The sequence below is a fragment of the Homo sapiens genome, chromosome 10, assembly GCF_000001405.40.
Source record: "Homo sapiens chromosome 10, GRCh38.p14 Primary Assembly".
NCBI lineage: Eukaryota > Metazoa > Chordata > Mammalia > Primates > Hominidae > Homo > Homo sapiens.
Genome location: NC_000010.11, coordinates 92,417,013 through 92,440,553, shown reverse-complemented (window position 1 = coordinate 92,440,553; position 23,541 = coordinate 92,417,013). Strand labels below are relative to the sequence as shown.

At 43.7% G+C, this 23,541-nt stretch overlaps 1 long non-coding RNA gene and 1 pseudogene across 2 annotated transcripts; both read right to left on the bottom strand.

The window, feature by feature from the left end:
* Positions 1-12,930: 12,930 nt before the first annotated feature.
* LOC124902484 (uncharacterized) lies at positions 12,931-17,544 on the bottom strand. The gene is made up of 2 exons (XR_007062248.1): positions 16,431-17,544; positions 12,931-13,149 (listed from the first exon to the last, which is right to left on the bottom strand). It is a non-coding gene; the product is annotated as an uncharacterized LOC124902484 (long non-coding RNA).
* A 3,403-nt stretch (positions 17,545-20,947) lies between these two features.
* Positions 20,948-21,893, bottom strand: MARK2P9 (MARK2 pseudogene 9; annotated as a pseudogene). The gene has a single exon (NR_038243.2). The product of NR_038243.2 is annotated as an MARK2 pseudogene 9 (transcript).
* Positions 21,894-23,541: the final 1,648 nt, after the last annotated feature.

Genomic DNA, 23,541 nt, shown 5'->3' with positions numbered 1-23,541 from the left:
ACCACAGTTATGCTCATTCTTTTACATATTTATGCTTTCATGCTATAATGGCAGAGCTTAGTAGTTATGATACAGACCCTATGATCTGTGTAGGGGTGAAAAGGGTGTGATACCTTTTCTTCCCATCATAAGGGTCGCAGCAGACACTTCTATAACAAAAGAGACGGTTAACAAGAGAAAAGTGTAACAAGTTTATTTAATCATGGTTTTACATGACATGGGAGCCTTCAAAATGAAGACCCAGAGATATAGGAAAAACTGTCCATTTGTATGCTTCGATGCAATGAAGAGTGGACAGTCATGTACAACTGTGGCAAAGGGTGTGATCTAATGTAGTAGACCGAGAGGAGGAAGCCCAGCAAGACCTGTCTGTTGAGGTTCTTCTTGGTGTCTCTGTTGTAGCATTTCTTCCTCTCAGGTATGGAACAGGATCCTGGAATGGGGGTCTTATGACCTACTGTCAAGCCAGATAGGTCAGGGAATTTCTTTATGACCATCTCTAGACAGAAAGGTGGGGAGAGGTTAGAGTAATGTTTTTAGGCTTTATAACCCACTGTGGAGAAGAAGGATTCTAGTTTCCGTGGCATGCCCTGGGGGAGAAAGCGGGGAAGAGACAGGAGGGCAGGAGGAGGTCAGAGAGAGCTGCTTCTGAGGCTTTCGCTTTGAGGTAGCATTTCCTGAGTCTCAATATCCAGAAAGCCTAAATATTTACCACCTAGTGTTTTACAGAAGTTTTCCAGCCCCATCAATAGACAATCCATCACAGAGATGCCAATTGCTAAGTGCTGCTTTTCCAGCGAAGTGTCAGAGAGCTCATGTTCATCATGGGATGACCTTTCCTGCCACTTCCAGGCATATTCTTCTGGATTAAATTAGGTAGTGTCACAGTACCTGGCACATAGTTGTTTACTGAGCTTTATGTTTATGAGGTTATTATTCTCTGCTATGGCACACTGACTTTTAAAAACAAATTCTTACAAAATAAGAGTAACCTGAAAATTATATATATATATATATATATATATAGAGAGAGAGAGAGAGAGAGAGAGAGAGAGAGAGAGAGAGAGTGTGTGTGTGTGTGTGTGCGCGTTTAAGACAGAGTCGGGCTCTGTTGCCCAGGCTGGAGTGCAGTGACGCGATCTTGGCCCCCTGCAACCTCTGCCTCCCAGGCTCAAGCCAGCCTCCCACTTCGTCTCTCCAGTAGTTGGGACTACAGGCATGCACCACCACATCCAGCTAATTTTTGAATTTTTTGTAGAGATGGGGTCTCATTTTGTTGCCCAGGCTAGTCTCAAACTCCTGAGTTCAAGTGATCCTCCTGCCTCGGCCTCCCAAAGTATGGGGATTATAGGCATGAGCCACTGTACCCAGCCAGTATTATGTTTTTAAAGTAAATTTTTATTATATTTTAGTAATTTAATAATGTCAACACTTTGCAAAACGTTACTGTTGGTGGAACATAGTTTGGGAAGCGCCCTAGGTCCTTGCTAGTCAAAGCATGCTCGGTGGACCAGTGTGGGCATCAACTGGAGCTTGCCGCAGACTACTGGATAAAATCTACCTTTTAACAAGATCTCCAGGTGAGTCAAACATACAGTAAAGTTTGAGGAGCACTTCCAGGTACATCTCAATAATTTTATTTTATTTATTTATTTATTTTTTAGACGGAGTCTCGCTGTGTCACCCAGGCTGGAGTGCAGTGGCGCCATCTTGGCCTGCGCCCAGCCTATTTTTAAACATTTTAAAACATGTCTTTGATGCCAGGCACAGTGGCTCATGCCTGTAATCCCAGCACTTTGGGAGGCTGAGGTGGGCGGATCACCTGAGGTTGGGAGTTTGAAACCAGCCTGACCAAAGTGGAGAAATCCCATCTCTACTAAAAATGCAAAATTAGCTGGGCATGGTGGTGCATGTCTGTAATCCCAGCTACTCGGGAGGCTGAGGCAGGAGAATCGCTTAAACCTGGGTGGCGGAGGTTGTGGTGAGCCCAGATCCCACCATTGCACTCCAGACTGGGCAACAAAAGCGAAATTCTGTCTCAAAAACAACAACAACAAAAACATGTCTTTGGTACGTATCTGCATCTATTTCTGTAACAGGTGAAATTGCAAAGTCATAGGATACATGTGTGTGAGCAACTTTAGCAGATACAACTAAACAGTTTTCCAAAGTGACTATGCGAATTTACACTCTCACAGCAGGGTATGAGAGTTTCAGCTGTTTACCATCACTTGGTATTGTTAGTCTTTTTATTTTTATTTATTATTTATTTATTTATATTTATTTATTTATTTATTTTTGAGACGCAGTCTTGCTCTGTCCCCCAGGCTGGAGTGCAGTGGCGCAATCTCAGCTCACTGCAAGCTCTGCCTCGTGAGTTCATGCCATTCTCCTGCCTCAGCCTCCCGAGTAGCTGGGACTACAGGCGCCCACCACCACGCCCGGCTAATTTTTTGTATTTTCAGTAGAGACGGGATTTCACCATGTTAGCCAGGATGGTCTCGATCTCCTGACCTCGTGATCCGCCTGCCTCAGCCTCCCAAAGTGCTGGGATTACAGGCGTGAGCCACTGCACCTGGCCAGTATTTTTATTTTTTATTTTCTTTATTTTTTGGAGTCAAGCATGGTTGTAGAGGGAGACAATATTAATCAGCTTAACAACCCACAACTCTTGGACCAACTGTTAGTCTTTTAAATTTTGGCCATTCTCATGGGTGTAGTAGGTATATACACTGTGGTTTTAATTAGCATTTCTTTGCATATAATGAGCTTAAGAAACTTTTCATGTGTATTGACTTTTCAGTGTTCCCTTTTGTGAAGTCTTTCACCAATTTTTTTTTGAGACAGGGTCTCTTTCTGTCACCCAGGCTAGAGTGCAGTGATGCAGTCATAGCTCACTGCAGCCTCAAAATCCTGGGCTAAAACAATCCTCCCACCTCAGCCTTCCAAGTAGCTAGGACTACAGGTGTGTGCCATCATGCCCAGCTTATTTTATTTTATTTTTTGAGATGGAGTTTCACTCTTACTGCCCAGGCTGGAGTGCAATGGCACGATCTCGGCTCACTGCAACCTCCGTCTCCCGGGTTCAAGCGATTCTCCTGCCTCAAACTCCCGAATACCTGGGATTATAGGCATGCGCCACCACCCCCGGTGAACTTTGTATTTTCAGTAGAGATGAGGTTTCTCCATGTTGGTCAGGCTGGTCTCGAACTCCTGACCTCAGGTGATCCGCCCACCTCGGCCTCCCAAAGTGCTAGGATTACAGGCATGAGCCACTGCACCCGGCCTTTTTCTTTTCTTTTCTTTTCTTTTTTTTTTTTTTTGAGACAGAGTCTTGCTCTGTCGCCCAGGCTGGGGTGCAGTGGTGCCATTTCGGCTCACTGCAACCTCCGCCTCCCGGGTTCAAATGATTCTCCTGCCTCAGCGTCCCGAGGCAATCTCTGTAGGTAAATTATATAATCTTCCAAAGGCCCTCTTACAACTTGCAGAGAGGAAATCAAGGAGTTGCTAGCAATATGAGAAAAGTTAACACCTTGTCAACTTTTCGTATTTTTAGTAAAGATGGGGTTTCACCATGTTGGTCAGGCTGGCCTTGAACTCCTGACCTCAGATGATCCACCCGCCTCAGCCCCGCAAAGTGCTGGGATTACAGGCGTGAGCCACTGTGCCCAACCATGCCCAGCTGATTTTTTAATTTTTTTGTAGAGACAGGGGTCTTGCTATGTTGCCCAGTCTAATTTTGAACTCCTGGTCTCAAGTGATTTTGCTTGGCCTCCCAAAACGCTGGGATTACAGGCATGAGGCACTGTGCCTGGCCTCTCAGCCATTTTTTAATTGTGTTGTCAATCCTTAGTGATTTGTAGGAGTCCCATATATTTTGGGTCTGAGCTCTTTTGTTATTTTTATTATTTATCACTCTTTGGCTTGTCTTTTCACTCTTAATGGTATATATTGTACATCTTTTCTAGTTTGTTTTCAGTGAGAGGTTTCAGCACCATCTAGTCAACCACTGCCAGAGCAGAACTTGGTCTCCTATTTTAATGACTAAATTTTATTCCAGGCTGGGCATGGTGGCTCACGCCTGTAATCACAGCACTTTGGGAGGCTGAGGCAGGCAGATCACCTGAGGTCAGGAGTTCGAGACCAGCCTGACCACAATGGTGAAACCCCATTTCTACTTTTAAAAATACAAAATTTAGCCGGGCGTGATAGTGGGCTCCTGTGATCCCAGCTACTTAGGAGGCTGAGGCAGGAGAATCACTTGAACCGGGAAGCAAAAGATTGCAGTGAGCTTAGATTGCACCACTGCATTCCAGCCTGGGCAACAGAGGGAGACTTCATCTCAAAAAAAAAAAAAAAAAAAAAATTCCAATAATGCCTGCATTATGATGAAGACTGACCCATTGTCATTGGGAATTAGTTTGAGAAGCTTTTTAAGAAGATAATGAGCTGAGAAAGAATCAGATCCCGGCAAGGTAAGTTTTAATAAACGAAAAGATGGAGGGAAAAGCAAGATCTGGGTGGGCACCTGAGGCCTTCCAGGGCCCTGTGCCCTCAGGCAAATATTGGCATTCATGAGAAGAACCAGAATTAAACAAGGATATACGCAAGAAAGCAGCCAGGAAACATATATGATACCAAAAGCAGGTGGAAACCACTTCACAGTTTGGCCCAGGGACAAGTCTGATGGTGTGTGTATTTGCATGTCTCTTTGCTCAGCACATTTCTGCCTCATCATAGGGAGAGTTGCACAGAAAGCAATTTGGATTTGGGTTTAGATTTCTCATATTGCTAGCAACTCCTTGATTTCCTCTCTGCAAGTTGTAAAAGGGCCTTTGGAAGATTGTATAATTTACCTACAGAGATTGTTCTTTTTACTTTATGGCAGTCTTATAGAAGGAATGATTGTTCCAGTATTCATAACTGACTTAGAGTTTCTTCTAACTTATTGGTTTTTAACCCTAATTGCATATGAAAGTTGGCTACAGATCTTTTTTTTCCTGCTTCCTATCGCCCAGCTACAGATCATATATATATATATATATATATATATATATATATACACACACACACACACACATATATACACACATATATATACATATATACACATATATATACACATATATACATATATACACATATATACACACACACATATATATACACACACACATATATACACACACACACACACATATATATATATAAAATATATATCTACACTAACTGAGTTGGTGGGGATGGGGTAGAGAGGACTGGATATTGGATTGTTTGCAAGTCCTCCTCGTGATCCTTATGTGTGTTTAAGGCCAGAGAACCACTGCTGACATTGCAAAGATAAGGTTGTCCACAAGATGGAGATAAAGCACTTCTCAGTGAAAAATGCTCCACACACTCAAAACCCATTCTCTGGCTTTATGTCTACACCAACTCCAATTTATGGTTTCTTCTTTTAATTTTTTTTTTTAGACGGAGTCTTATTCTGTCACCCAGGCTGGAGTGCAATGGCGTGGTCTCGGCTCACTGCAACCTCCTCCTCCTGGGTTCAAGCGATTCTCCTGCCTCAGACTCCCAAGTAGCTGGGACTACAGGTGCCTGCCACCACACCCAGCTAATTTTTGTATTTTTAGTAGAGACGGGTTTTCACTATGTTGGCCAGGCTGGTCTCAAACTCCTGACCTCGTGATCCGCCCACCTCGGTCTCCCAAAGTGCTGGGATTACAGGCGTGAGCCACTGTGCCCAGCCCTTAATTTTTTTTTTTTTTTTTAGAGACAAGATCTTTTTCTGTCTCCCAGGATGGAGTGCAGTGGTTCCATCATAGCTCACTGCAGCCTGGAACTCCTGGGCTCAAGTGATCCTCCAGGCTCAGCTTCTCGAGTAGCTAGGACTATAGGTGCTCACCACCTTGCCTAATTTTTTATTTTTTGTAGAGGCGGGGTCTCACTATGTTGCCCAGGCTGGTTTTGAACTCCTGTCCTCAAGCCATCCTCCCATCCTGGCCTCCCAAATTGCTGGGATTATAGGCATGAGCCATGGAACCTGGCTGACTCCAATTTATGTAATGTGCCAAGCGGGGACAAACGTGGGAAGATAGGTAACATTACCTTTGGTGCTGTTGCTTGCCAGTCAAAGAAATTTTTGCCACCTCAGAGGAAAAGACCAGGAACTAACTTTAAAAATGACAGCCAGGGCTGGATATGGTGGCTCATGCCTGAAATCCCAGCACTTTGGGAGACTGAAACAGAAGGCTCGCTCGAGCCCAGGAGTCCAAGACCAGCCTGGACGACATAGGGAGACCTCATTTCTATAAAAAATAAAAATAAAAAAATTAGCCAGGCATGATGGCTCTTACCTGTAGTCCCAGCTACTCTGGAGGCTGAGGTGGGAGGATCACTTGAGCCCAGGAGGTCAAGGCTGCAGTGAGCCATGATCATGTCACTGCACTCCAGCCTGGGCGACAGGCAGACGGAGATCCTGTTTCTAAATAAATAAATAAATAAAATAATAAAGTAAAATAAAAATGACAGCCAGGTGTGGTGGCTCATGCCTGTAATACCAGCAACTCAAGAGGCTGAGGCAGGAAGACTGCTTGAGCCCAGGAATTTGAGGTTGCTGTGAGCTATAATTGTGCCTCTGTACTCCAGACTGGGCAACAGAGCAATACCCCATCTCATAAAAAAAAAAAAAAAAGAAAGAAAGAAAAATGACACATGGCTAAAAATATCTCTTATTTGGCTGGGCGTGGTGGCTCACACCTGTAATCCTAGCACTTTGGGAGGCCGAGGTGGGCAGATCACTTGAGGTCAGGAGTTCAAAACCAGCTTGGCCATCATCGTGAAACCCCATCTCTACTAAAAATACAAAAATTATCTGGGCGTGGTGGTGCGTGCCGGTAATCCCAGCTACTTGAGAGGCTGAGGCAGGAAAATCGCTTGAACCCGGGAGGCAGAGGTTGCAGTGAGCTGAGATTGTGCCACCGCACTCCAGCCTGGGTGACCGAGCGAGACTCCATCTCAAAAAAGAAAAAAAAAAAACTCTTATTCACCCAATTACCTGAATTAGAATCTAGAAATATTTTCAATCCTTTTCCTAGTTCACTTTGATAAAATAGACCATATAAACTGACACCAAAACTGAAAATAAGAAAGGAGTGTAATATTGTTCATATTTTATGGAGTGGAAATTTTTGAAATGAGATCATTCTGTAAATTATGTAGATAGAAATCAACATCTGCACAAGTAAATTAGCGTAAGATGTGTTGCTCACAGGATTTTAGGAAATATGCAGATGCAATAATGTGATTTCTATTTTTTTCTTAAGTCTGAAGTACTTGATTGGTAGCTCCCAATCATTTCTCCCATCTCACTTGTCTAGCTCTGTCACAGAAGCTGTAAAAGCTACAAACTCCGTCTCTCTGTTCCCTTGTAGGGAGAGATGGTCAATGAGATCTAAGTGAAATCACTAAGGAGGGCTTCCCTTCCTGAATAAAATGACAATACCTCAGTACAAGAAGTGTCTTTTTCCCTTGTCCCTCCACCCCCGAATTCTTGCTACCATCTTCCTGGGGACATGAAACTTAGAAGTGGAGCAGCCACCACTGGCCATGAGATGACAAGTGTGAGGACAAAAGCCACTGTAACTAAGAAGGACAGAATGGACAGGTGAGAGCAGCCCGGATCCCTCCCTGATGGCGACTATGGGCAGCTTTTATGCTGATCAGCCTCCCGAGTAGCTGGGACTACAGGGGACTGCCTATCCCTGCACTTGCTATGAGGGGAAAAGCCACTGTTGATCAGGCTTCCTGTTGTTCTCCGATGTTGTTAGGGCAGGAACACTTGGCAGATTTCCTGGTATTTACAATTAGACACTTAATAAATGGAGGAATTTATCCCTTACTGAACATCACTGAGAAGTTGCTATGTTGGCATATAGAACATAAATATATTTACTTATTTATTTTTATTTATTTTTGCGGGAGACCGGAGTTTTATTACTCAAACCAGTCTCCCATAAATATATTTATAATGTTGATTTTAGACATTATCCTTTCTAAAGAGACCCTGTGGGCTTTAGACAAAGCTAAGACTTGAGAAGCTCAAGTTCCTTTGTTGTTGTTGTTATTTCTAAAAAGTATGTATTAAATGCCTAATTGTAAATACCAAGAAATCTGCCAAGTGTTCCTGCCCTAACAACATTTTCTGAGCCAAAATGCACAGTTTGGGTTTGGCATGGTCGCTCACACCTGTAATTCCAGCACTTTGGGAGGCCAAGGTGGGAAGCCAGGAGTTCAAAACCAGCCTGGGCAGCATAGTGAGACCCTGATTCTATATAAAACAAAGAAAAAGAAAACAAAATGCATAGTTTGACATATCAAATGAATATTTTCAACAGAACTGTGCTAGATAATCCAGACTGTCCATGGCTCTACCTGACACAGCCTATGATTTCTTCAGGGTAAGCACCAGATCAGGACACATACATCACTGCTATGGCCGAACACACAGACAATGACACAGAAACAATAAACCAAATAGCAACAGACAACAAGGTGTTTGCATCAAGATAAGCCTAATTTGGGTAAGGCATGGTGGTTCACACCTGTAATCCCAGCACTTTGGAAGGCTGAGGTAGTCAGATGGTTTGAGCCCAGAAGGTCAAGACCAGCCTGGGCAACATGGCAAGGCCCTGTCTGTACAAAAAATATAAACATTAGCCGGGCATGGTGGCACGTGTCTGTTGTCCCAGCTACTTGAGAGGCTGAGATGGGAGGATTGATTCAGTCTGGTAAGTCAAGGCTGCAGTGAGCCATGATCTTGCCACTGCACTCCAGCCTGGGCGACAGAGTGAGAACTGGTTTCAAAAATAAATAAATAGGCCGGGCGTGGTGGCTCATGTCTATAATCCCAGCACTTTGGGAGGCTGAGGAGGGCAGATTACGAGGTCAGGCATTCCAGACCAGCCTGGCCAACATGGTAAAACCCCGTCTCTACTAAAAATACAAAAATTAGCCAGGTGTGGTGGTGCGTGCCTGTAATCCCAGCTACTCAGGAGGCTGAGGCAGGAGAATCACTTGAACCCAGGAGGTGGAGGTTGCAGTGAGCCGAGATCGTGCCACTGCACTCCAGCCTGGGTGACAGAGCGAGACTTCATCTCAAAAAAGAAAGAAAGATGAAAGAAAAAGAGAAAAGAAAGAAGGAAGGAAGGGAGGGAGGGAAGAAAGGGAGGGAAGGGAAGGAAGGGAAGGAGAGGAAGGAAGGGGAGGAAGGAAGGGAAGGAAAGGAAAGGAAGGAAAGGAAGAAAGGAAAAAGAGGAAAGAAAGGAAAGAGACCTAAGTTGATTTTAAGAGTAAACAACAAGGCATCTAATTGGAAAAAGAACTGGGAACGAGTAAGAGTTCCACATTTTGATTCAGCAGAGTGGTAATTTGCTATTCAGGGGTCAGAATATTCAGGATAGTTGCTATTCTGTGGTCTGCAGCAAAAGGATTTAATGGAAGAGGATTTCCGTGAATTCACTGGCTGTTTAAGGAATTGGAGAAAACTGAGTTGGCAAATGGAGAAAAGATATTATAGGCACATGATGTCACCTTGGAAAAGGTCATGAAGGCAAAGGCAGGCCCTCCCTGGAGCACAACATAGTAATGTGTCCCCTGGGGCTGTGTCATATGCCATCCCTGTAAGCAGCGCAGGGGAAAGTGAAGTGCACTTGGATAAGGCAGAGGTGATTGACTAAGAAGTAGGAGGAAGTAAATGACATTAAATGTTGAACTTCATTGGGGTCTGCTCCTACACATTTCTTTCTTGCTTTTATTTTATGACATGCTGTTAACTCTCAACTTTCTTTTTTTTTTTCTTTTTTTTTTTAAGTTGGAGTTTCGCTCTTGTTGCCCAGGCTGGAGTGCAATGGTGCAATCTCGGCTTACCCCACAACCTCCGCCTCCAGGGTTCAAGCAATTCTCCTGCCTCAGCCTCCCGAGTAGATGGGATTACAGGCATGCACCACCATGCCTGCTAATTTTGTATTTTTAGTAGAGATGTGGTTTCTCCATGTTAGCCTGTTCTCAAACTCCCAACCTCAGGTGATCGCCAGTCTCAGCCTCCCAAATTGCTGGAATTACAGGCGTCAGCCACCATGCCTGGCCTTAACTCTCCACTTTCTATCTCCAAACCTAATCTCTCCCTGAATCTCAAATTCATTTCCAGCTGCCTCCTGGCTATCTCCACCTGGACTTTTGCACAGTCATTTCAAACTCACCATGTCCAAAAAGGAACTTCCTTTTTTTTTTCCTGGGACAGAGTCTTCGCTCTGTCGCCCAGGCTGGAGTGCAGTGGCTCGATCTCTAGCTCATTGCAACCTCTGCCTCCTGGGTTCAAGTGATTCTCCTGCCTCAGCCTCCCAAGTAGCTGGGATCACAGGAGCATGCCACCATGCCCCGCTAATTTTTGTATTTTTAGTAGAGACGGGGTTTCACCATGTTAGTCAGGCTGGTCTTGAACTCCTGACCTCATGATCCGCCCACCTCAACCTCCAAAAGTGCTGGGATTACAGGCGTGAGCCACCACACCCGGCTCCAAAAAGGAACTTCTTAAACTGTCTTTTCTTTCTGTATGCTCATTTTCTCAGTCCATTTTTAATTTTTTTCCCCGATTTATTGAGGTATAATTGACACAGTCTATATTTGTTGACAACTATTTATCAGGTGCCTACTCTGTGCCACTCACTGTGCTAGGGCTGGGATAGAAGGATGAACAAGACCAGACATGGTTCCACCCCACTGCCTTTTCAATCTAGAGAAGCAGACTGCCACCAAACAAATAAGCCTGGCCCAGCACGGTGGCTCAGGCCTGCAATCCCAGCACTTTGGGAGGCCAAGGTGGGAGGATTGCTTGAGCCTGGGAGTTTGAGACCAGCCTGGGCAACATAGTGAGACCCTGGGACTACAAAAAAATTAAAAATTCCCTGGGTGTGGTGCTCGTGCCTGTAGTCCCAGCTACTTGGGAGGCTGACATGGGAGGATTGCTAGAAGCCCAGGAGGTTGAGCCTGCAGTAAGCTGCGAAGGTGCCACTGCACTCCAGCCTGGGTAACAGAGCAACACCCTGTGTCAAAACAAATGAACAAAGAAACCCACAATTACATATTTCCATCTATGATGATAGAGGAATGGAGGTGAGTGCCATCCGAGAGTACAAAAGGGGTACTTGAGATCTAATTAAGTAGAATTTTACCCACCCCATCACCTATGCTAGAAAACTGGATGTCATTCTTTTCCTTTCCCTCTCTTACTGTACAAATAAAACCAATCACCTCATCTTGCCTATTTGACCCCCTAAGTATTTCTCAAGCCTGCTTCCTATTTCCCTTCTTCATTATTCTAGCGGAGACTGTCACCTTCTTCTACTTGGACCGTGCATTACTCTTTGATGCCAGGCTTTGTACGCTTTCCCCTTCTGCTTCACTCTACCACCCCACCATGGCTTTTCATACTGCCTCCAGGCAGCTTTATTCAAGACCTATATCTGACCATGTGGCTTTCCTGCCTAAAGCCTTTCCCATTTTGTGTTAAAAAGTCAACTTCACTTTTAAGTAAATTAATAGATTTTATGGGGGAGGAGTATAGTTTTAGGTTTACAGAAAAATTGAACAGAATGTACAGAGAGTTTCAGAATACCCGCCCTTTTTTTTTTTTTTTTTTTTTTTTTTTGAGACTGGATCTTGCTAGGTCACCCAAGCTGGATTGCAGTGGAGCTATCTTGGCTCACTGTGACCTCCACCTCCCAGGTTCAAGCAATTCTCCTGCCTCAGCCTCCCAAAGTGCTAGGATTACAGGTGCCCGCCACCACGCCTGGCTAATTTTTGTATTTTTAGTAGAGGTGGGGTTTCACTGTATTGGCCAGGCTGGTCTCAAACTCCTGACCTCAAGTGATCAGACTGCCTCAGCCTCCCGAAGTGCTGCGATTACAGACCTGAGGCGCCTGGCAATATCCCTATTATTAACATCTTGGATTAGTGTGGCACATTTGTTATAATTGATAAATCAGTATTGATATATTATTGTTAACTAGAGTCCATAGTTTACTTTAGAGGTCAGTCTTTGTGCCATTTTTTTTCTTCTATAATTTTACTCTTTTTTGTTTGTTTGTTTGTTTTGAGACAGAGTTTCACTCTTGTCATCCAGGCTGGAGTGCAATGGCACGATCTCGGCTCACTGCAACGTCCGCCTCCCGAGTTCAAGTGATTCTCCTGCCTCAGCCTTGCAAGTAGCTGGGATTACAGGTGCCCACCATCACGCCCAGCTAATTTTTGTATTTTTAGTAGAGATGAGGTTTCACCATGTTGGCCAGATTGGTCTCGAACTCCTGACCTCAGGTAATCATGAGCCACCATGCCTGGTTAATTTTCCTCTTTTCAATGTCATCAATTTTTGCAGTAATTTTTTTTCTTCTGCTTGTTTTAGAGATGGCATCTCACTATGTTGCCCAGGCTGGAGTGCAGTGGTGCAATCAAACTCCTGGGCTCAAGCCATCCTTCCACCTCAGCCTCCTGAGTAGCTGGGACTACAGGTGTGCACCACCAGCCTGGCTAATTAAAAAAAAAAATTTTTTTTAAAGACAGGGTCCCACTATGTTGCCCAGGCTGGTCTCGAACTCCTTAGCTCACTTGTTTGGATTTTGATTGGGATTGCATTGAGTCTATAGATCAAGTTGGGAAGAAATGACATCTTAACAATATGAGTCATCCTGTCCATGAATATGAAATATCTCCTCATTTATTAATATTTAGATCTTCTTGATTTTGTCATCACAGTTTTGTAGTTTTCCTCATGTATATCTTTTATACATTTGGTATAATCTGTATAATCCAACCATATGTTGTCTATAATAGAGTCACTTTGGATACTAAGACACAAGGAAGTTGAAAGTAAAATAATGGAAAAGATACTTTATGCAAATAGTAACAAAAATAGAGATGAGGTGGCTATATAATTATATAATTATCAGATATATAGATTATTGCCAAGCATGGTGGCATGCACCTGTAGTCCCAGCTACTCCGGAGGCTGAGGCAGAAGGATCACTTGAGCCCAGGAGTTAGAGGTTGCAGTGCACTGCTCTCCAGTCTGGGCAACACTGTGAGATGCTGTCTCTAAAACAAACAAATAAACAAACATTATAAGTGTAAAGTTACAAGAGATAACAAAGGATATTACATTTTGATAAAACTTTTTAAGAATATGTAACAATTGTAAACATATACACATCTAATAACATAACTCCAAAATATATTAAGCAAAAGCTGACAGAATCAAAGAGAGAAATACAATAATGGAAGGATATATATATATATATATATATATATATATATATATATATATATTTTTTTTTTTTTTTTTTTTGAGATGGAGTTTCGCTCTTGTTGCCCAGGCTGGAGTGCAATGGAGTGATCTTGGCTCACTGCAACCTCTGCCTCCTGGGTTCAAGTGATTCTCCTGCCTCAGCCTCCCGAGTAGCTAGGATTACAGGCATGCGCCACCGTGCCTGGCTAATTTTGTATTTTTAGTAGAGATGGGGTTTCTCCGTGTTGGTCAGGCTGGTCTGGAACTCCCCACCTCAGGTGATCCACCCACCTCCACCTCCCAAAGTGCTGGGATTACGGGCGTGAGCCACCGTGCCCGGCCTGGAGGGATACATTAAAGGGAGTTCTCCAATACAATAAAGGGAATTCTACAATAATGGTTAGAGACTTCAATAACCCACATTCAATAATGAATAGAACAACCAGACAGAAGAGTAATTAGGAAAGAGAAGACTTGAACAACCCTATATGCTAGTGAGACCCAACAGACATATACAGAACACTGTACTCAAGAGCAGAATACACACTCTTCTCAATGCAAATGGAATATTCTCCAAGAGAGACCATATATTAGGCCACAAACCAAATTTTAATAAATTTTAAAAGATTGGACCAGGTGCAGTGGCTCACATCTGTAATCCCAGCACTTTGGGAGGCCAAGGCAGGTTGAGCTCAGGAGTTTGAGGCTAACCGGGGCAACATAATGAGACCCCATCTCTATTTTTTAAAATAAAATAAAATATTGTATCATATTGTATTCTATCATACCATCTTTTCCACTTACAATGAAATGAAACTAGAAATCAATAACAGAAAGAGGCCAGCCACGTTGGTTCATGCCTGTAATCCCAGGACTTTGGGAGGCAGAGGCAGATGGATCACCTGAGGTCAAGAGTTTGAGACCGGCCTGGCCAACATGGTGAAACCCTATCTCTACTAAAACTACAAAAATTAGCTGGGCGTGGTGGTGGGTACCTGTAATCCCAGCTACTTGGGAGGCTGAGGCAGGAGAATCACTTGAACCCAGGAGGCAGAGGTTGCAGTGAGCTGAGATCGCACCACTGCACTCCAGCCTGGGTGACAGAGCGAGACTCCGTCTCAAAAACAAAAACAATTAAAGAAGGAAACTGAAAAGCTAACAAATATGTACAATAACACATGCTGAAACAACCAACGTGTCAAAGAAGAAGTCACAGGGGAAATAAGGACAGATATATAAATAAATGGAGAATGGAATAGAATTGAGAGCCCAGAAGGAAACCTTCCTATATATGACCAATTACTTTTTGACAAGGGTGCCAAGACCATTCAGTTTGGTACATACAATCTTTTCAACAAATGTTGATGGGTATCCAAATGCCAAGAATGAAGTTAGACCCTTACCTTATACGATATACAAAAATTAACTCAGAATGGACCAAACACCTAAACTTAATAGCTAAAATTATAAAACCGTTAGAAGGAAACAAAAGGGAAAATCTTTATGACATTAATTTGGCAATGATAGCTTGGATATAACATTAAGAGCTCAGGCAACAAAAGAAAAAATAAACTGGGCTTCAAATAAAAACCTTCAGTTCAAGGCCGGGTGCGGTGGCTCATGCCTGTAATCCCAGCACTTTGGGAGGCCAAGGCGGGTGGATCACCTGAGGTCGGGAGTTCAAGACCAGCCTGACCAACATGGAGAAACCCCGCCTCTACTAAAAATACAAAATTAAAATTAGCTGGGCATGGGGGCGCATGCCTGTAATCCCAGCTCCTCGGGAGGCTGAGGCAGGAGAGTCATTTAAACCCAGGAGGCAGAGGTTGCAGTGAGCTGAGATCGCACCATTGCACTCCAGCCTGGGCAACAAAAGCGAAAACTCCGTCTAAAAAAAAAAAAAAAAACCTTTAGTTCATCATAGGACACTATCAAGACAGTGAACAGACAACTCACAGAATGGGAGAAAATACTTGCAAGCCATATATCTGATAAAGGATTAAAATCCGGAATATATAAAGAACACCTGGCCGGGCACAGTAGCTCACACCTGTAATCCCAGCACTTTGGGAGGCTGAGGTGGGTGGATCGCTTGGGTCAGGAGTTCGAGACCAGCCTGGCCAACATGGCAAAACCCCGTCTTTACTAAAAATATAAAAATTAGCTGGGCGTGGTGGTGGGCGCCTGTAATCCCAGCTACTCAGGAGGCTGAGGCAGGGGAATCGCTTGAACCCAGGAGGCGAAGGTTGCAGTAAGCCGAGATCGTGCCACCGCACTCCAGCCTGGGCAACAGAGCGAGACTCTGTCTCAAAAATAAATAAATAAAAATAACAAATGTTCACTATAATGTGGAAAAATTAGAACGCTATGCATTGTTATTGGGAATGTAAAATGTTGCAGCTACTCTGGAAAATAATTTGGCCATTTCTCATAAAATTAAACATAGCATCACCATAACATCCAGTGAATCCACTCTTAGGTCTATTCCTTAAAGAACTGAAAGCAGGGACTCAAACAGATCCTTGTATGACAATGTTCATAGTGGCATTATTCATAATAGCCAAGAGGTGAACACAACCCAAATGACCTTCAATGGATAAACCAATCAACAAAATGTGGAAATAACTGGAATGGAAACAATGGAATATTATTCAGCCATAAAAAGAAATGAAGTTCTGATACATGCCAAAACACTGATGAATCCTGAAAACATTATGTGAAATGAAATAAGAAAGACACAAAAGGACATATATTATGTGATTCCACTCATATAAGATACCTAGAAGAGGCATATTCATGGAGACAGAAAGTAGAATAGAGGTCAGCAGGGACTTGGAGGAAGGAGAATGAGAAGTTATTGTTCAGTAAGTACAGAGTTTCTGTCTGGGATGATGAATTTCTGGAAATAGTAGTGATGGTTACCGAACATTGTGAATGTACTTAATGAAATGCCACTGAATTATATTAATACACTTAAAAATTATTAAAATTGTAAATTTTGTGTTATGTATATCTCACCAGAATTTTTTTAACTTCCAATTATCTATTCCTAATTTATAGGAAAGCAATTGACTTTTGTATGTTAACCTACCTGCAACCTTCTTATGATCACTTTTTGTTGGTTCTTTGGGATTTCTTTATATAAATAATTATGTCATCTGTGAACAAAGACAGTTTTATTTCGTCCTTCCCAATCTGGATGCCTTTTCTTTTCTTGTCATATTGTATTAGCTAGAACCTCCTGCAATGTTGACTAGAAGTAGTGAGAGGAGACATTCTTGTTTCTGATCCGAGGGGGAAAGCATATAGTTTCTCACCATTAATTATGATGTTGGTTATAGGTTTTTTGCAAATATTCTTTATCCAGTTGAGGATATTCCCCTCTATTCCTAGTTTGCTGTGAGTTTTTATGGTGAATGGATGATTGATTTTGTGAAATACTTTTTCTGCATCTATTGAGTGAAATACTTTTTCTGCATTGATATGATTTTTCTTAGTTAGTCTATTGATGTAATGGACTATAGTGACTGATTTTCCTGTCAAACCAGCCTTGCATACCTGGGATAAATCTCACTTTGTCATAGCATGTAATTCTTTTTATACATTGTTGAATTCTGTTTAAGTTCATATGTGCTGCTATAACAAAATACTTGAGACTGGGTAATATAAAAGAACAGAAATGTGTTCACAGCTCTGGAGCTAGGTAGTCCAAGATCAAGGCACCAGCAGGTTCAGTTTTCTGGTGAGGGCTACTTTCCGCTTCCGAGATGGTGTTTCATTGCCTCAACCTTCAGAGGGGAAGAACACTGTGTCCTTACATGGCTGAAGGGGCAGAACGGAACAACGCTGAAGGCTGCAAAACCCCCACCTCTTAATACTCTTGCATTGGACATTTCAACATGAATTTTGGACAGTAACATTCAAACCACAGCAGATTTCGTGTGCTAATATGTTGTCCAGAATTTTTATATCTCCAATACAAAAGATAGAAAAAAGATACATTTTGTACATGGTAGATATATTGGTCTGTAGTTTTCCCCTCTTGTAGTATCTTTTGTTTCTGTATTAGAATAATGCTGGTTTCACAGAACTAAGGAAATATTCCCTCCGCTTCTATTTTCTGGAAGAGATTGTAGAGAAGTGGTATTAGTTCTTAGAATTCGCCAGTGAAAACACTTGGGCTTGATGCTTTCTTTTTTGGAAGATTATTGATTCAATTTTAAAAGTAGATATAGGTCTATTAAGATTATCTTTCTCTTTTGGTGAGTTTTGGTAGATTGTCTCTCTCAAGGAATTGGTCTATTTCATCTAAGTTATCAAATTTGTGGGCATAAAACTTTTTTTTTTTTTTGAGACGGAGTCTTGCTCTGTCACCAGACTGGAATGCAGTGGCACAGTCTTGGCTCACTGCAACCTCCGCCTCCTGGGTTCAAGCGATTCTCCTGCCTCAGCCTCCAGAGTAGCTGGGACTACAGGTGCATGACACCACGCCCAGCTAATTTTTGTATTTGTAGTAGAGATGGGGTTTCACCATGTTGGTCAGGATGGTCTCGATCTCCTGACCTCGTGATCTGCCCACGTTGGCCTCCCAAAGTGCTGGGATTACAGGCGTTAGCCACCACGCCCAGCCTTTTTTTTTTTTTTCTTTTTTTTTGAGATGGAGTCTAGCTCTGTTGCCCAGGCTGGAGTGCAGTGGCGTAATCTCAGCTCACTGCAACCTCCGCCTCCTGGGTTCAAGCCATTCTCGTGCCTCAGTCTCCCCAGTAGCTGGGATTACAGGCAACCGCCACCACGCCCAGCTAATTTTTTATTTATAGTGAGACAGGCTTTTGCCATGTTGGCCAGGCTGGTCTTGAACTCCTGTCCTCAGGTGATCCGCCCACCTTGGCCTCCCAAAGTGCTGGGATTACAGGCATGAGCCACCGTGCCCGGCCGACTTTTTTCTTCTTACATGGCTGTCATAGAACCTCTATTAGACTTTTAATGTCTGTGGGATTAGTAAACTCTTTTTTATTTCTGATATTAGTAATTTGTGTTTTCTCTTTTTCTTGGCTAGCCAGTCCAGAAGTTTATCAATTTTACTTATTGTTTCAAAGATTTAGCTTTTGGTTTCAGCTTTTATGTTTTGATTTTCTCTATAATTTTCCTCTTTTTAATGTCATCCATTTTTTTTCTAATTTTTTTTCTTCTGTTTTAGGTTTATGTAATTCTTCTTTCTCTAGTTTCCTAAGGTGGAAGCTTAGATTTTTAATTTTACATATTTCTTCTTTTCTAATATATTCATTCAATACTATAAATTTTCCTCTAGCACTGCTTTTGCTGCATCCCATACATTTTGATAAGCCATATTTTCATTTTTATTTAGTTCAAAATATTTTTTAAAATTTATCTTGAGACTTCTTTGACCCATGTGTTGTTTGGAAGTATGTTGTCTAATGACCAAATGTGGGTATGCTGCAACCCACAAATTTTGATGAGTCATATTTTCATTTTCATTTAGTTCAAAACATTTTTTAACATTTCTCTTGAGAATTCTTTGGCCTATGTGTTATTTGGGACCATGTTGTCTAATGACCAAATATTTGGTGGCTTTCCAACTGTCTTTCTGTTACTAATTTCCAGTTTAATTCCATTGTGATGTGAGTATACTTTGTAAGATTTTTACTCTTTCAAATTTGTTAGAAGTGTGTTTTATGCCCCAGACCATGGTCTATCTTGGCGAATATTTCATCTGAGTTTGAGAAGAGTGTATATTTGTACTCGTTGGATGAAGTAGTCTATACATATCAACAGGTCCAGCTGATTGACGATGCCCTTCAGCTCAGCTATGTCCTGAGTCCATCAATTATTAGTAGATAGGTGTTGAGATATCCAACTATAACAGTGGATCTGTCTGGTTTTTCTTGCAATTCTCCCCTTTGATGGATTCCATATTTTGAGGCTCTGTTGTTAGGTCCCTACATATTAAAGACTGCTATGTCTTTCTGGAGAATTGACCCCTAGTCATTATGAAATGCCCCTCTTGCTCCTGGAAGTTGTGGTTGGCCACTTCGGACTCGGCCTCTGAAGCCTCCTCATGCCTGCGTGAAGGAGGTGGACGGCCCCTGGTTTTGTGAGGTTGGCTTACATGAGCTGCTGTTATCCACAGAGCAGCAGCCAGGGACTAGTGATGAAGTACTTAGTGTCTGGTCAGAGCTCTGGGCCTTATCTGTCTCCACGTCGACTCCCGCGATCGTTTTTGCCTTCGCTTAGTTTGTCGTCGAATCCACCTCGATGAAACCGTTTGCTTTTTCCTGTAAATGCTTCCCATTTTAGCAACGGCCGCTTGCAGTTTGGCCACAGAATCTAAACTCTTCCCAGGCAATTTGCATATGGTTTTTTCGTAGTGCAAAACCCTCTCCTGGGGCTTCCACGCCTCCCGCAGCTCGGCCCAGCTCCTCCTGAGTCCCGGGATCTGGGGCTGAGCCCCCGCCGCGAAAACCTCCCGAGCCCAGGAGATGAGCGGTGGACGCTCGGGCCCGGAGCCCCTCGGCGCCCCGAGCTCGCGCTCCAGCCGCGGCCGTTAAGGGTTTTGATCCGTTACCCAACGGCTGTCGAAAGAGGAGCACGACGTGAACTTCCACCGACAATCGTTTAAATACTGCAGGCGAAGGACGGGTTCTTATTGTGAGCACCTACTGAGCTCTGTTTAATATTTGGGAGAGGGCGAGGGTAATTTTTTGTTGTTTGGGGGGTTTTTTGTTTTTTATTTTTATTTTTCGTTTTTTTTTCTGTACCAAAAAGTGACTCTAATTTCTAATTGTGAATCGTGTCCTCCTCCGTCTTTGCTTTCAGGTTCCTTCAGGCAAACCGGCAGCTGAGTCCAGCTTGTGAACTTGAACTTGAACTTGCTGAAGAAGCTCCCGGCGGCCCTCTGCTGGCCGCCGCCTTTGCCAGAGGGAGAGGCTGGAGTCACCCTGTTGGAACCCATTTCTGGGGCTGGCACCTGTTGGGCTGCCCGGCCGCGCGTACCTGGTCCCATCGGGGGCTCTGCCCACTCCGCTGATGACGCGGGTAGAAGGGAGGCCGCAGGGACACTCTGGGGGGACTGTGCCGGGCGGGCACCCCCCAGCTGCTCACTGTGGGGTGCGGCACCGAGGCCTGGTTGGGCTGCAAGGAGACCGACTGGGATTCCCGGGCTGGTGGCCGGGGAGACGGGGTAGAGGTGAGAAGCAAGAGCTCAGGAGGCCTCAGGCCCCAGCGCTGTGGGGCTGCCGTTGTCGTTCTGGGTGGAGGTCTGGCCAAACCGGCTTTTGCCCCGAGTGAGGAATTCCTGCTCATTTTGGTGTTAGTGGAGAGGTCGCTGTTCACAGCGGGGGTGGGGTTCGTCCCCTCCAGGCTAGTAGGGAGCTGGCTGGTGCATTGCTGTGTTGCTGCCCTTCTGCCCTGTCTCCTGATCCTGTTCAGACTCTGGGTGGCTCCTTTGAGTCTTCTCAGGCCGTGAAAGATGGGAAAGGCAGGTTGTTGAAACCACTGCTGCTCCGGGCTGGCAGAGACCCTGAGCTGTACCTCCTGGGATGAAAGGAGAACCCAGGAGCAGGCAGGTGACCACTGCTTCCTCATACTCCTCAGCAAGTCCTGGATCTCTTCCTGTCTGTAACCCACGGATACCATGAACTTAGTTTGCAGGGGGTCCTCCCAGTGGGAGAGTGGCTGCACACAGCGCTTAAGTTCCTCACCTTCATGACTCGCATTCATCCATGGACCCCTCACAGTGTGCTCTGAAGGGCCTCTCTTCCTGCAATTGACAATGAGAAATTTCTTCAGCAAGTTTTCACTCTCCGGGGACATGGGGGAGGGAATGGAATACATCCTGCTCAGTACCTGCTCCTATAGCTCCTTGAAGTTCTGTCCATCGAAAAATAAGGATCCATTTACCAGTATATAGAGGATAACTCGCAGACGCCATACATCCACCAGCTCATATTTGTGGCCCTAGAAGAATTCCAGGGCAGCCTAAGGGGACTGCCACAAAAGGTATCCAGCTTGTTGCGAAAGGCGAATTTATTCCTGAACCCAATCTGTGATGTTCATGTTAACATGGACAATACATTTCTGGTGACAATACACAATATCTGTGGACAATGCACTTCTGGTAACAGCTTGCATAGCAGACACTTTTGGTGGAATTTGCTTCAGGCCTCTTTCCTGCTGCTGTGAGCAGGTATTCACAAACTTCTCGCTAGCGTGCTTTGTGATGAGGCAGAGATTCCTCACTATCGATCACAGCAAATACTTCACTATGTTGGGGTGATCTGAGCCTTCATGATTCCTACTTTGTGGATGGTGTCTGGAGGCTGGAGGAGATCTGCTGAGTCTCATCAATGAACTTCACGGCGGCTGCTTTCCCAGTCAGGATGTCCCAGGCCAACCCCACCTTAGCCAGGTTGTCCTTGACGATGGTCTCAAGGATCCTCGCTGCCAATAAGGATCCCTCCTCAGCAGAGATGGCTGAGAGGCCCTGCGGCGTGTGGGACTTACTACTGGGCTTGGAGTCAAGGTGTCCCAGGTCGGCTTAATTTTGGGAAAAGCTGGTGAGAAGCTTGGTCCAAATCACCTGAAAAGAAAATCACTTGCATAGTTTACCTGAAGAACGGATTTCTATAATGGAATCAAAACACAATACTGGACAAAAATCAAATAAGCAAAAGCAACAAACTGAAAAGGAAATGCTGAGTAAAAAAGAACTTAAAAATTAGAAAAATAAGAGAAAAAAGAACAAGAAGAACCAGTAACCTCAGCCAAGCCAGGGACTTACATACGTGCTTGGAATTCCAAAGCAGCAGTTCCTTATGAGGAAGAACTAAGCCTAGTAACAAGGCTGAGGATAATCTATGTGGCTTTCTCATGCTTTGGTCTCAAGAACTCTTTACTCTTAAAGAAAATATATTGAGGACCACAAAGAGGATTTTTTATTGATATGGGTTACAGTTATGAATATTTACCTTATTAGAAATTAAAACCTCTAGGATGCTTCAATGGCCTTTTCTAGTTTGAAAAGATAACAGGCTGGGTGTGGTGGCTCACGCCTGTAATTCCAGCACTTTGGGAGGCCGAGGTGGGCAAATCACCTGAGCTCGGGAGTTCGAGAAAAGGTATAAAAATGTTTGGCTTTTAAAGAGCCCACAATATCTACACTTAAAATATTTCATTTTTTTCTTTAAACTCTAAATGATTGGTTTCAAAATGATGCCACAACTTAGCTGGCATTATGATAGTGTATAAGTATGTTCTGTTGTGTACGACACAATGAGCTTCATTATTACCATCTGCGACACTGAGGGGAAGATAGCTTTCATCATATTTTCTCATTTAAAGTTTTGCCCAGTTTCATTTGCATAGATTCCCTTTTTCCATGAGCTGCTATGTCAGTCTCAGCATCTTTCAATGTAGAGTTTGCAGCTATGAGTTGAGAAAGCACATTTTCTACTCTTTTTAAGTGAATAATCCACTGTGCCTGGTGTACCTCTCCTTCAGCATAGGATAGGGACATCCAGGTACTGGACCCGTCACTGGCACCTCAGTGGGGAGAACCCAGATGCCCCTACATGATGTTTAAAGATGCTTTATATACATAAAAGTGCACAAATCATCAGCCCACAGCTTGGTGACTGTTCACATATTGAACTCATCTATTTATCTAGTATCCAGGTCAAGAAACAGCCATTACAGCCCCCCAAGATCCCACACCCCTTTTCCAGTCACTTTCTCTGCAGTGATAACCACTCTTCTGTATTTTGACAGCATAGATTCATTTTGCTTATTTTTGAACTTTACATACATGGATTCATACAGTATTGGATCCTTTGTGTCTGCTTCCTTTGCTTAATTTGTTTTTGTTTGTTTGTTTGTTTGTTTGTTTTTCTTGAGACAGAGTCTTGCTCTTGTTGCCCAGGCTGGAGTGCAATGGCACGATCTCAGATCACTGCAACCTCCACCTCCTGGGTTCAAGCAATTCTCCTGCCTCAGCCTCCCAAGTAGCTGGGATTATAGGAGCTTGCCACCATGCCTGGCTAATTTTTGTATTTTTAGTTGAGACGGGGTTTCACCATGTTGGCCAGGCTGGTCTCGAACTCCTTACCTCATGTTCCGCCTGCCTCAGCCTCCCAAAGTGCTGGAATTACAGGCATGAACAACCACGCCTGGTCCTTTGCTCAATATTT